The following is a 15,307-nucleotide window of genomic DNA, read 5'->3' as shown; positions in this document are numbered from 1 at the left end:
CTGGGAAGTGAGGAGCGTCTCTGCCTGGCCCCCCATCGTCTGGGATATGAGGAGCCTCTCTGCCTGGCTGCCCAGTCTGGAAAGTGAGGAGCGTCTCTGCCCGGCCGCCATCCCATCTAGGAAGCGAGGAGTGCCTCTTCCCGGCCACCATCCCATCTAGGAAGTGAGGAGCGTCTCTGCCCGGCCGCCCATCGTCTGAGATGTGGGGAGCACCTCTGCCCTGCCGCCGTGTCTGGGATGTGAGGAGCGCCTCTGCTGGGCTGCAACCCTGTCTGGGAGGTGAGGAGCGTCTCTGCCCGGCCGCCCCGTCTGAGAAGTGAGGAAACCCTCTGCCTGGCAACCGCCCCGTCTGAGAAGTGAGGAGCCCCTCCGTCCGGCAGCCACCCCGTCTGGGAAGTGAGGAGCGTCTCCGACCGGCAGCCACCCCGTCTGGGAAGTGAGGAGCGTCTCCGCCCGGCAGCCACCCCGTCCGGGAGGGAGGTGGGGGGGGGGTCAGCCCCCTGCCCGGCCAGCCGCCCCGTCCGGGAGGTGAGGGGCTCCTCTGCCCGGCCGCCCCTACTGGGAAGTGAGGAGCCCCTCTGCCCGGCCAGTCGCCCCGTCCAGGAGGGAGGTGGGGGGGTCAGCCCCCCGCCCGGCCGGCCGCCCCGTCCAGGAGGTGAGGGGTGCCTCTGCCCGGCCGCCCCTACTGGGAAGTGAGGACCCCTCTTCCCGGCCAGCCGCCCCGTCTGGGAGGGAGGTGGGGGGGTCGGCCCCCCGCCCGGCCAGCCGCCCAGTCCGGGAGGGAGGTGGGGGGATCAGCCCCCCGCCTGGCCAGCCGCCCCGTCCGGGAGGTGAGGGGTGCCTCTGCCCGGCCGCCCCTACTGGGAAGTGAGGAGCCCCTCTGCCCCGCCAGCCGCCCCGTCCGGGAGGGAGGTGGGAGGGTCAGCCCCCCGCCCGGCCGGCCGCCCCGTCCAGGAGGTGAGGGGCGCCTCTGCCCGGCCGCCCCTACTGGGAAGTGAGGACCCCTCTGCCCGGCCAGCCGCCCCGTCTGGGAGGGAGGTGGGGGGGGTCAGCCCCCCACCCGGCCAGCCGCCCAGTCCGGGAGGGAGGTGGGGGGTCAGCCCCCCGCCCGGCCAGCCGCCCCGTCCGGGAGGGAGGTGGGGGGATCAGCCCCCCGCCTGGCCAGCCGCCCCGTCCGGGAGGTGAGGGGTGCCTCTGCCCGGCCGCCCCTACTGGGAAGTGAGGAGCCCCTCTGCCCGGCCAGCCGCCCCGTCCGGGAGGGAGGTGGGAGGGTCAGCCCCCCACCCGGCCGGCCGCCCCGTCCGGGAGGTGAGGGGCGCCTCTGCCCGGCCGCCCCTACTGGGAAGTGAGGACCCCTCTGCCCGGCAAGCCGCCCAGTCCGGGAGGGAGGTGGGGGGTCAGCCCCCCGCCCGGCCAGCCGCCCCGTCCGGGAGGGAGGTGGGGGGATCAGCCCCCAGCCTGGCCAGCCGCTCTGTCCTGGAGGTGAGGGGCGCCTCTTCCCGGCCGCCCCTACTGGGAAGTGAGGAGCCCCTCTGCCCGGCCAGCCGCCCCGTCCGGGAGGGAGGCGGGGGGGGGGGGTCGGCCAGCCGCCCTGTCCGGGAGGGAGGTGGGGGGGTCAGCCCCCCGCCCGGCCGGCCGCCCCGTCCGGGAGGTGAGGGGCGCCTCTGCCCGGCCGCCCCTACTGGGAAGTGAGGACTCCTCTGCCCGGCCAGCCGCCCCGTCCGGGAGGGAGGTGGGGGGGGTCAGCCCCCCGCCCGGCCAGCCGCCCTATCCAGGAGGTGAGGGGCGCCTCTGCCCGGCCGCCCCTACTGGGAAGTGAGGAGCCCCTCTGCCTGGCCAGCCGCCCCGTCCGGGAGGGTGGTGGGGGGGTCAGCCCCCCGCCCGGCCAGCCGCCCCATCCGGGAGGTGAGGGGCGCTTCTGCCCGGCCGCCCCTACTGGGAAGTGAGGAGCCCCTCTGCCCGGCCACGACCCCGTCTGGGAGGTGTGCCCAGCGGCTCATTGGGGATGGGCCATGATGACAATGGCGGTTTTGTGGAATAGAAAGGCGGGAAGGGTGGGGAAAAAATTGAGAAATCGGATGGTTGCCGGGTCTGTGTGGATAGAAGTAGACATGGGAGACTTTTCATTTTGTTCTGTACTAAGAAAAATTCTTCTGCCTTGGAAAAAAAAAAAAAAAAAATTATAAAGGGGATATCACCACCAATCCCACAGAAACACAAACTACTATCGGAGAATACTATAAACACCTCTATGCAAATAAACTAGAAAATCTAGAAGAAATGGATAAATTCCTGGACACATACACCCTCCCAAGACTAAACCAGGAAGAAGTTTACTGAAACTTATGTTTACTGAAGCACTATTCACAATAGCAAAGACTTGGAACCAACCCAAATGCCCACCAATGGTAGACTGGGTTAAGAAAATGTGGCACATATACACCATGGAATACTATGCAGCCATAAAAAAGGATGAGTTCATGTCCTTTGTAGCGACATGGATGAAGCTGGAAACCATCGTTCTGAGCAAACTGTCACAAGGACAGAAAACCAAACACCACATGTTGTCACTCATAAGTGGGAATTGAACAATGAGATCATTTGGACACAGGACAGGGAACAACACACACTGGGGCCTGTCGTGGGGTGGGGGAATGAGAGAGGGATAGTATTAGGAGAAATACCTAATGTAAATGATGTGTTAATGGGTGGAGCAAACCAACACAATGCATGTAGATGTATCTATCAACCCTGCACGTTGTGCACATATACTCTAACACTTAAAGTATAATAAAAATAATAAATAAAACAAAAATAAAAACAAAAAAAAACTTTAATCAGTGGATCTCAGGGAGTCTGTGAGCTCCTGATAGCATATGCAGATTTTGGTCATATGTGACATTGTGCCTTTTTTTTTTTGGAGATTAGCTCAGATTTCATTATATTTATATATTTCTATGGTGGTTAAAAAAACCCACATAGTATAAAATTTACCATATTCACCAATTTAAGTTTCTGCAAGAGGACAGGCAAGCATTAGACTCTCATACTATTCTAGATGGCCTGGAGACCTGCATAGGACTTTGCCCACCTGTCTCTCTCCCCTTGTCTATGATCTTGTCTTTCTGTCTTTCTCTTTCTTCTTCCCTGCAAGACAACCTTCCCCTCAACTGCCCTTTGTGCAAGTGCATTTTTGCATGTTTGTGTCATTTTGTCCAATGGTTTATCCTAGATGCCTCTGCCATTTTTACCCTTATTTATACATCTGTGTGTGTGTGTGTGTGTGTCACTCTGGGTGCATGCTTGAGGTTTCTGTGTGCATGTATGTTTCAGCATGTCCCTGTTGATAGATGAATTTATGCATGCGCCAGGCTTTGTGGGGTGTGTGTTTGTGCTTGATAAGTGGGCATCCTTTCCAACTTATGTCTGCCCAAGCACATTTGTGTGAGTACCTGATGAGGTGCATGTGTGTTCATGCCACTGTTCCTGAATGCTTGCCAGTCTCTGGGTCTGTCTGTGCATGTCGCCTGAGTGCACATGTGCTTTGGGATATGCCACTTGGGGGAGGTCTATGACGTGCTTTTCTGGGTCCAGCTAGATGTGGATATTCAACAAATGTGCATATTCACATTTGTGTGTACGTGTGCACAACAGGTTGACTACATACAAGCGTATGGATGTTTTTGTGCATGCATTCTGGTGTCTGTATGCAGACACATGGGCCATGCTGTGTACATATTAACATCAGATATTTGCCTGTACCTGTCTGTGTTTGAATTCAAACATAGCCCTAGCCCACCTCTATTTCTCTTATATATAAAAAAAGAACTGTGTGAAGTTTTTAAGAGCATGATTGTAAGTCTGTGAGGTTGATTTTGTCATCTTCATTTTGCAAATGAGTTAGGTAAAGCCCCAAAAGTTGTAAATGACTTGCTTCTGGCTTCCACAGCTAATGAGGGCAGAGCCTGGGTATGATCTTGTGACTGTAAATTTTATGCTTTTAATCACTTCTTTGGACTGTCATGCCCCACCTCTTTTCTTTATGAGACATTAGAAAAGCTGCCCGTAATTTCTTATGGCTCTTGAAAAACTTCCCTGTATGTAACGCAAGATTTTGAAATGTTATTTTAAACAGTCTTTTACCAGGAGGGAGCCTTGACCTTTTACAGTTTTTGCATTCTTTGGAACCTTACCCAAAGACCTAGTTGGCCAGTGTATGCCTCAGGCTATTGGCAGTGATGCAGTGAAGGAGTTGGGGACCTAGTGGTTGTGGTCAGAGTGTGAAATGTTTGTTTCACATTTTAGAGTGATGACAAGGATTAGGGTTTCTAGACAAGTGGACTCTAAGTCTCTTCCACATTAACTGGTATGTTTTTTGTTTGTTTTTGTTTGTTTGTTTTTGAGACTGGGTCTCACTCTATCTCCCAGGCTGAAGTACAATAGCACATTCATAGCTCACTGCAGCCTTGACCTCCCAGGCTCAAGTGATCATCTTGCCTCATCTTCCTGAGTAGCTGGGACTACAAGTGTGTGCCACTGCACCCAGCTTACGTTAAGTTTAATATGAAACCTGGCCAGAAAGCTCAGTGAATTCTTAATATTTTCCCTTTTCTCCCATTCCAAAGCTTTCTCCCAGTAAGGCCCATCTTCTCATGACTGAGTTCTCCATAACCACATAGTCACCTAGTAGCCCTCCCCCTGTGGCCCCCAAGCCCTTGGTCTTCTGGAACTCCTCCAGTAGGTAGCTGGCTTCCTGGAGAAGCATCAAAGAATCTTCCATCATTCTCCATTGGCCAGAGCTACACCTCTGTCGTTCTCCTTTGGCCAGAGCTACATCTCAGTCTCATGCTTCTGCCTGCCTCCCCTCCTGTGTTCAAGTCTGTGCTAGACAGTGATAGGGAGGGATTATGAAAGCTCTAGACTGTGCTGTCAAGGAAGCCACTCCCAACCTTCAAGGTTCAATCAAGAAATCAAGAGAGTAAGGTTCTCTCCCTGCAGGATCCCCCCCCAAAAAAAACAAAAGTCCAGACTGAGTTGGAGGAAAGGGGAATCAGTCTAGGAATGATAGGGGCAGAGTAAAGAGTGTTTCTTACAGGAAGGAGACCTGAACCTTCTTACATATATAAATAAGTGGATGAATGCATAGGAAAGTGGGAGGAGGTATTGCGAGAATGCCATATAGACTGCCCTGGAATGGGGATGTTAATTCTATTTTCTAGACACCACTTGGATTCTCTGGATACATGCACATATGTGTACACAGAAGCTCACACCTGTACATTGATATGCCTACACAAAAGGGGTTACTGTGTAGTAAGAAACATTTAGAGATTACCAGAAGTGTGGATTGAGTCTTATTCCAATGCACTAGAAATTTAATGGAAATTTAATGAAATTATCTCGATTGATGGATGGATGTAAGGAAGCATTTATGACTAGAATGACTAACGGGTGGATGGATGAAAGATTTAATAGATGGGTGAAGGGTTAATTGATGGATGGATTGAAATAGATGAATAATAATTGGAAAGGTGGATGTAAATATTAATAAGTTGTTGAATGATGGAAGGGTTAATGAATGGATGGATGGAATATTGGATAGATGGATAAATGGAAAGTTAATTGGTACATGTATAGATAATAGAGCAAAAGATATTTATATAGAAGAAATAATTAGTGGATTTTTTGATGAATTTGTGGACATATGGACAGAAGGATGAAAATTAAAAGGATAGATAGATAGATAGATAGATAGATAGATAGATAGATAGATTGAAGGATGGAAAGAGTGTGGTGAGCCTGCCTCGACAGCCCGGGACAGGCTCAAATATATCAGGAAGTGGGTAAGAGATACTGAGACCTGTGGCTAGGGTGAGGAGATCCCTAGTGCTGAAGTGTAGGTGCTGGGAGTGTAAATCTTTTGCATTTTTCTCTAGTAGGTGGGGTAATGACTTATGGAATTTTCAGGTTCACTATAGTGACCAAGAAGTGCCCACACACACACACCCAAAAGGGGACAAGCAGCAAAGCCCTTTCTCTCTTGTTGAATTCCAGAGCCAGAGGGCTGGGAAGGAAGCCAGGCATCCCTCCTTCTGCTCTCAAAGGTCTCTGTTTTGGTGTTTTAGAAACTGGATTCCTCAGTCCTCAGCCCAGCTGAGTTGGGAGCTCCCCAAAGCCTCCACTGGCATCTTGATTCCACTGCTTTTCACCTTTTCTGGCAGCTGAGGGAGAGCCCTGAGGCCTGCCTGTCTCCTTTGGGAAGCTCCACCTGACTGCAGCCTGTCTCCCAGCCTGAGCCCCTCAATCCCTCTGGTTCTGTACGATTCATTCTCTGACCTTCCCTGGGGAAGGGAGGCAGTGATCTGACCTACCCACCCAATTCAGTAGCCATGGAGCTGGGGGAGGTGTCTATGAGGCCAGGTTGATGGATAGGTGAGAAGAAAGAAAGTATTCCTTCCTGATCTCCTCCTCATCCCTCACCCCACCCTCTGGAATAATGACAATTACATAATCACCTCCGCCTTACTCCTTCCCACAGGCAGAGAGCCAGAAGGAGAGGTATGTGGGCAAAGAGCATGGGTAAGAAGAGAGAAAGAGACAAAGGTTCCAGGGGGACAGAAAGCAAGAGAGAGAGAGAGCACCAGGGAGAGATGGGGGAGACAGAGAGAGATGGAGAGAGAGAGAGAAGAGAGAGAAAGGGAGACAAAAACACCAAGGAGAGATAGACAGGGGAGGAGAGAGACAGAGAGATGGAGAGAGAGAAAGAGAGATTGAGAGCACCAAGGAGAGATGCAGGAGAGAAAGAGACAGAGAGAGATGGAGAGAGAGAGAGAGGAAAGAGAGAGACAGATAGAAAAAGAGACAGATATCACCAGGGAGAGATGGGAGAGAGAGAGAGAGAGAAAGACAGAGACAGAGAGGGAGAGAGAGAGAAGACAGACAGAGATGGACAGAGAGAGAAAGAGAGACAAGGAACCCCAAGGAGAGATGGAGAGGGGAGGAGGGAGACAGAGAGATGGAGAGAGAGAAAGAGAGATTAAGAGCACCAGTGAGAGATGGGGGGGTGAGAGAGATGAAGAGAGAGAGAGAGACAGACAGAGAGCACCAGGGAGAGATGGCAAGAGAGAGAGACAGAGAAAGAGATGTAGAGAGAGAGATGGAGAGAAAGAGAGACAGATAGCACCAGGGGGAGATGGGAGAGAAAGAGAGACAGAGAAAGAAGGACAAAGAGCACCAAGGAGAGAGGGAGGGGAATGGAGAGAGACAGAGAGACTGAGAAAGAGAGAGACCGAGAGCACCAGGGAGACATGGGGTGTTGAGACAGATTAAGAGAGAGAGAGAAGAGAGAGAGACAGAAAGACAGAGGACACAAAGAAGAGATGGAGACAGGGAGAGATGGGGAGAGGAAAGAGAGATGGAGAGAGAGAGAGAGCACCAGGGAGAGATGGAAAGAAAGGGAGAGACAGAAAGAACCAGGGAGAGACAGAGAGAGAAAGAAAGACAAAGTGCCAGAGAGAGAGAAGGGGGAGAGGAAGGGAGGGAAGGAGGGGAAGGAGAGGGAGGGAGGGAAGAAGGTGGGAAGGGATGGAGGGAATAACTGGGACCCAGTGAAACAGGGAGAAGGAATCTGAGAAAGACACAGGACACTGCTAGAGGGAGAAGCAGAGAGAGATGGAAAGAGGCACACACAGAGAAAGGAAGAGGTGGACAGCTAGAGAGATGCTCACTCCGAAAGGTGTAAATGCAGATACAGACAGACCCAGAGCCCTGGATAGACTTAGACAAGTGAAAAAAAGAGACTCAGAGGAGAGAGTCAGAGAAGTACAGAGCGTCAGAGGCCCAGAGCTCTTTGGCTCTGCCTAATTTATTGGTTTACAAGCTCTTTGTTCTTAGGGCAGATGGGAGGGTGAGGAAGGGATGAGGAAAAGGATTAATCAATGAAGGAGAACTCGTGAGTCATTCAATAAGATGAACAGCAGTGGCGATTTCTGTGTATTTCCTTGAGCAAAGGCGTGTCTAAACTACTTAAGATCTTTAACTTATCAGAACTGAAATGGGTGGGAGTGGGTTTCAGGAGAAACCAAGATGTTTGATTATACTCCACTGCTTCTAGGGAGTGCTATCTCCCTGATCAACCTGTGAAATGCCACTGAGCGGTTATGCTCTCAGGGCATAAGGACATGAAGGCAATAAGGAGACTTTTCTCCTTAGAGGCTGCCCATGGCTCCCCATGGGTGTCTCACACGGGGGAGACCAACTCATCTGGCACTCCAGAAACTCTTTTTCCCGCAGGTCTCCCTTTTTTTGTCTCTATTAATTTTTTTTATTAATAACCGCTATTACTATCATGTCTCGTTCACAGTGTCTGGCTTCTCTCCGAAGGCGTCGTCTGCATCTGTAGACTAAAAACAAACAGCATAAACATACGTAAACCAAAATAAAATTTGCAATTGTTGATCCAGCTATGGTTTTAATCCACTTTAAAGGATTGGTATTAGAAAGGCCATCAGTGGCTCCAGCAAGAATATCAGCTCCGAGCAACAGGTTGAGACGAGCCTGAGATACCTCAAAAAGTTGTTTTTTCAGTTTAGCAATATCTAGGGTTAAATTATCTTCTTTTCCTTGTGGGTTACATCTAATCATCTCCCAATGGTGTACAGTGGCATTATAAAAGCTAGAAGTAATATAAAAATCAGAAGTATTCCAATCACATTGCTCCAAGCTCATAATCCAATCTCCCATCCAAATTACTGTTTGACGGAGATCACTAATTTGATTTGCCAATTTTTGATCTATTTGGCTTTGGGAATTCCAAAGCTTAGAAGAATTTTTCTGCCAACTATCCACAAAGCCCACAGTTTGAATAGAAGAGTGCAAAGCAACACCAGCAGCAGCAGCAGTAGCTGTGACAGCTATAAGGCCCATGATCACAGCTATTAAAGTAAATATGAATCATTTTGATCTATTAAGTATTCCTTTTAGTACTTCAGTGATAATATGTATAGAGGGAGAGGCCTCCCAAGGTCTATTGAGGGGAACAGGTATCCAAACTCCTTCTCGGGCCCTAAACAGTAACATGCTATTATCTTTATTAAAGGTAGAATTAATGCAGGTAAAAAGATGACAGTTGAGGCATGATATGGTTTGAGAATCAGCTAGGATATTAATTTTTCCCACTGCCAACATAAAAGGAGGTTTAACACAACTCTGCAATGGGACCATCTGATTAAAGGTCATGGCTACAACATTCCTTCCTCCTCTGGATGAGTAGGACCTTGGTTGTCTGTTGGTCCAGGCATCCAGACACTATCATTAATATAAACCTCTACTGGGGGGTCTAACAATGTAATAGGCCTAATCAGTGGTGGGAATGGAATTTAGGTCCAATAAGTGTAATTTTGATCTGCCTCAGCTACAAGGTGACACACCAAGGAGATTACCACCATCATAGCTACCATTAGATTACTGGTGGTCAGCGGCTTGTTCTGAGACCTCAGGTTCTCTTCTGCAACGTGAGCTAGTCTCTTCATCTGCCCCCAGGTCAGTGGAGTTGCTTGGTGAGTTTTACTGGTTTCCATCTGCTCAACAGAGATGTTCATCTGAGCCATCTGATGAACTGGGGGTGCAGAGACATTCCGAGGTCTTTTCCTCTTCCTTGGGTTCTGGCTCATGGCACAACTTAAGATGTCTTGTGGGTACCCAGACAGGAAGCTGATTCTCTCCTGGTGAGATACAAGCAAACCCTCAACCCCAACAAGACCCACTGGGGCCTTTTGTTTGGGCCACTTTTTTGGTCATTGATAAAGAGCTATGATGGACACATCTGCTCCTGTGTCGACCACACCCTCAAATTGTTTTCCTTGAATAGTGACCATACAAATAGATCTATTGTCAGAGACTTGATTTACCAATAGGGAGGCTTGCCTGCTGAATTTGTGCTTCCAAATTATTCTGTTCTTTTTTCTGAGCTTTCTTCTAAATTAATATACAGTAAAAGCCACAGTTGAGCTATTCTGTCACCTGGATTAGCACTCCAGGGAACAGTGGAGGAGATAACAATTTGAATTTCTCCCTGGCAATCAGAGTCCACTACTCCAGTGTGTACTTGAATTGCCTTTAAATTTAAGTTGGACCTTCCCACCTTGCCATCTGGCAATGGGTCATAAGCTCCCATTGGGACCTTCCTAGGAGGCTCCCCAGGAAGGAGGGATACAGCTTCAGTACAGCATAAATCTACTGCCCCACTTTTAGCTGTGGAGGGGAACAATTGCTGCACATTTGTACAGGGAAAGACTGGGCTGGGAACACCCCATTTGTAGTCAGGGACGTCCTGTCCTGAATTGGGAATGCCCCATTTTGAATTAGGGCCTGTGGCTGGCCCCTCTGTCCATTTCCTGGCAAGGGCTGTCCGCTGTTATCAAACTTTGAATGACAGTGATTAGCCCAGTGTTTTCCTTTTTTACATCTGGGACAGGTACCTGGTTCCCTGCTTTTTCCTCCTAAGTTTTGCCTTTTTTGTACACTCTCTTTTTGTATGTCCTATCTGTCCACAATTATAGCAAGATCTGGGGAACACTCATATGTTTTTTGTTACCCTTAGTCTAGCCATTGCCGGAGCAAGAAGGCTGGCCTTATTCAAGTGCCTCCAATGCCATCACAGGCTTTAATGTATTCACTTAAAGTTTTTTCCTCATTTAGATCTGCCTTTCCCTTAATAGGTCTAATTTCTGCCTGACATTCTGTATCAGCATTTTCATAAGCAAGCAGCTGAACTATCACTTTCCTGACATGAGAATCCAAAATAGCCTTTTGAGCCGTGTCTTGCAAATGGGTGATAAAATCTGGATAAGGCTCCTTTGGACCCTGTTGAACTGAGTTAAAAGAAGTATAAGTAGTACCAGGGTCGTGAATTTTTTCCCAGGCTCTGAGGCATATAGTTCTGAGCTGATCAACAGTCTCATCACCCATTACCATCTGTCAATTTAGAGTACCCCATGCCTGTCTGATTCCAAGCAAGTGATCAGATGTGATATTAACAGGAGGTTGGGCTTGAGCATTTCTGCATGCCTGATTTGTTGTTGCTTGATCTGTCCGCCAGGTTTTAAATTGGAGAAACTCAGTGGGGGACAGGGTAGAGTGGGCTAATGCCTCCCAATCCATAGGTATTAAATGCCTGTTATAAGCCACAGATTGTAACAAGGAATGAACCTAAGGAGAATTTGGCCCATATTGTCCAATTGCTTGCTTTAAGTCTTTTAATATTTTAAAAGGAAATGGCTCCCAGCATGCTTCAGCATGTTGTCTGGGCTCCTCAGCTGGAGAAATAATTACCAGAAACTGCCAAGCATCCAAATCCCCCACATCTCATGCCTGGTAAATAGATGCCTGGATTGTCCCTGCACCGTAATTTGTATTTGGACCTGCTCACAGCATTCCTCTACCATAATTAAAAGGTGGACAAGCCTGGATCATTCCCTCACCATAATTGGCTGTTGGGTGAGCCTGAAGCTTCCCTTCAACATAGTTAATTGTGGGGCATGCAACAATGGGAGCAGCAAGTCATGTCTCAGGCTCCCATTCCAAAAATTCATAAGGCTGAGGCGGGGGTGGCCATTCTGGACCTTCCCCTAAAGGCGCAGTGGGTGGCACTGTTTCTGCAGTAGGTGGAAATGTTTCTTCTATAAGTTTTTGGAGGTTAGCATATATCCCTTTCTCCCCCTTTTTAAAACTAAACTGTGATGGTTCACTTTGCAGATCATCAAACTCCTGATTATTAAACTTTTCTATGTCATCCTGAAACTTCTCATCCTCCTCAGTGTGGAAAGGCTCCAGTGGTATTTTGATTGCTGACCACACAGACCAAGCAGACAAGGGAATATTGTAGCCCTCTTGTTGTGCTCATTTTAAGTCTGCTCCGAACTTGTCGCAGTCTTTTACATTCATGGTTCCATATTCCGGGAACCAAGGGGAATACTTTTCTATGAGCTGGAACAAAGATGTGAGATTTTGGGTACTCACAATTGCCCCTCTGTGGCACAATAACTGCCACACCAAGCTTAAGTAATTAGCAAATTTACTCTCAGCCTGACCCGTTTTCCCGAGGTTACCGTGGAATTCTCCAAGCACACTACTTATCCACAGAGCTTGAAGTGAAAACATATTCAGGCACCCTTTTTCTGTCATCTTCCACTTTCCATGCTCTAGCATTCCTTCACCAGATTATTTGTAGAGATAACGGGGAGTCCCACGTTGGGCGCCAGATGTTGGGGAAACCAGCCCCACACCACCCTGCAGGTACCGCGAGTCCAACGGAGACTAAAGAGTTAGAAAGAAACAGAGTGAGAATTTAAAAGGTGGGTCCGGGGGACCAGAGTGTCAGAGGCTTGCTCATGGCCCAGAGCTCTTTGGCTCTGCCTAATTTATTGGCTTACAAGCTCTTTGTTCTTAGGGCAGATGAGAAGGCAAGGAAGGGATGAGAAAAAGGATTAATCAATGAAGGAGAACTCGTGAGTTATTCAATAAGATGTAGAGCAGTGGCAGTTTCTGTGAATTTCCTTGAGCAAAGGCGTGTGTCTAAACTACTTAAAATCTTATCAGGACTGAAATGGGTGGGAGTGGGTTTCAGAAGAAGCCAAGATGTTTGATTGTACTTCACTGCTTTAAGGAAGTGTTATCTCCCTGAGCAACCTGTGGAATGCCGCTGAGCAGGTATGCTCTGGGAGCATAAAGACATAAAGACAATAAGGAGACTTTTCTCCTCAGAGGCCGCCCATGGCTCCCCATGGGTGTCTCACATAGGGGAGACCAACTCATCTGGTACTCCAGAAACTCTCTTTCCCACACCAGCTTGGCCTGGGAAGCCTTGTGAGCAGCCGGCACGTCATTATTTTTCTGATACCACTTCTGTACCAGGCCCTGACAGACCTGATCTCTTTTAATCCCAACAAGAAGACTCAATGATAATTGTTACAGTGCATTCTTACAGTGCACAATGATATCCCAGACACTTTTTGGAAGTGCAAAAAGCTCTTTGCACATACCTCACTGAATCTTCAAACAGCCCCACATTAGAGGTGCTATGATGATCTCTGCTTACAGAGGCAGAAATAAGGCACACAGAGGGCTTAAGTCACTTCTCAAGGGCACCAGCAAGGAGCTGGGATTCAACATCCAGACAATCTGGCTCCAATCAGTGATATTATCTCCTTCATTCCTGACAGACGGGAAGCTGAGAACTCTAAAGATGTGGCCCCCAGATTTGGAGAAGTGGGAGTTCTTATATAGATGTCAAAATATCACCCAAAGGAGCCAATGAACACCCTGAAATAGTCATGCAGCTGGGTGGCATTGTACCCACCTAGAAAAACTCCATGCAAGTATTTTGGATCCCTTGAAGGCTCAGCTCTTATTTACTCCACAAATATTTATTGTGAACCCTACTATATGTCAGGCACTTGTTCTGGAGGGTGGGGGAACCCACAGGGACCAAAGCAAACCATGACAACAGTAATAATTAAGTAAATGAGAACCTGCCAGGTGCAATGGCTCACACCTGTAATCTCAGTGCTTTGGGACGTCAAGATGGGGAGATCATTTCAGACCAAGAGTACAAGACCAGCCTGGGCAAAATAGCAAGACTACATCCTTTCAAAATATTTAAAAGTTAGCCAGAGGTGGTATCACAAACTTAGTCCTCACTACTCAGGAGGCTGAGATGGGAGGATTGCTTGAATCCAGGAGTTGGAGGCCGCAATGAGCCATGATCACACCACTGCACTCCAGTCTGGGTGATATGGTTTTGCTGTGTCCCCATCCAAATCTCATCTTGAATTGTAGCTGCCATAATCCCTACATGTTGTGGGAGGGACCCGGTGGGAGATCATTGAATCATAGGGGTGGTTTCCCCCATACTGTCCTCATACTAGTCAATAAGTCTCATGTGATCTGTTGGTTTTATAATGGAAAACCCCTTTCACTTGGTTCTCATTCTCTCTCTTGCCAGCGCCATGTAAGATGTGACTTTTGCCTTTCAGCATGATTGTGAGGCCTCCCCAGTCATGTGTAACTGTGAGTTTATTAAACCTCTTTTTCTTTATAAATTACCCAGTCTAAGGTATGTTTTTATCAGCAGCATAAAAACGGACTAATACAATGGGCAACAGAGCAAGACTCTGACTCTATAAATAAATAAAGACAGATGGATAGATACATAGATGATAGATACATAGAAAGATAGGTGATTAGATAGACAGATAGATATAGATAGATAGATAGATGATAGATAGATAGATGATAGATAGATGATAGATAGATAGATAGATAGATAGATAGATAGATAGATAGATAGATGATAGATAGATAGATAGGAAATAAGAACCCTGCCCTCCCAGAGCTGTCATTTTACCAGGAGGAAACATTATCAGAGGCAATGCCTGCTTGCTCCCGGAAGGTGCCAAGTTTGCTTTCTCACCTCCGGGCCTTTTACCTTGCTGTTCCCTCAGCTGAGAAGGCTTCTCACCACACCTTCTCATGGCCAACTCTCAGAAGCCTTCTCAAAGAAGCCCTCTCTGACCACTCAATCTGAAAGAATCCCCCATGGAACCTTTGTACACTGTTGGTGGTAATGTATATTAGTAGAGCCACTTTGAGGAACAATATGGAGTTTCCTTAAAAAAAAAAGTAGAAATAGGCCAGGCGCAGTGACTTATGCCTGTAATCCCAGCACTTTGGGAGGCTGAGGTAGGCAGATCACCTGAAGTCAGGAGTTCAAGACCAGCCTGGCCAACATGGTGAAACTCCATCTCTACTAAAAATACAAAATCAGCCAGGCGTGATGGTGGGTGCCTGTAGTCCCAGCTACTTGGGAGGCTGAGGCAAGAGAATGGCTTGAACCCAGGAGGCAGAGGCTGCAGTGAGCTAAGATCATACCACTGCACTCCAGCCTGGGTAACAGAGTAAGACTCCATCTCAAAAAAAAAATAAAATAAAATAAAAATAAACAAACAAAAAAGAAAAACATTAAAAATCGAGCTACCATACAATCCAGCAATCCCACTGCTAAGTGTATTCCAATAAAAGGAAATCTGTATACCGAAGAGATGTCTGCACTCCCATGTATTTCGCAGCTCTGTTCACAACAGCCAAGATATGGAATCAACCTAAGTGTTCATATGGTGCCCATACAGATGGGAGTACTATTCAGCCATTAAAAAAGAAAAAGATCCTGATATTTGCAGCAACATGGATGGAACTGCAGGAAGTTATGTTAGGTGAAATAAGCCGGGCAGATTCTGCTGTCACTCTTAAA

The sequence above is a fragment of the Homo sapiens genome, chromosome 19 (genome assembly GCF_000001405.40).
Source record: "Homo sapiens chromosome 19, GRCh38.p14 Primary Assembly".
NCBI classification, from domain to species: domain Eukaryota; kingdom Metazoa; phylum Chordata; class Mammalia; order Primates; family Hominidae; genus Homo; species Homo sapiens.
This window is presented reverse-complemented; position numbering follows the sequence as displayed.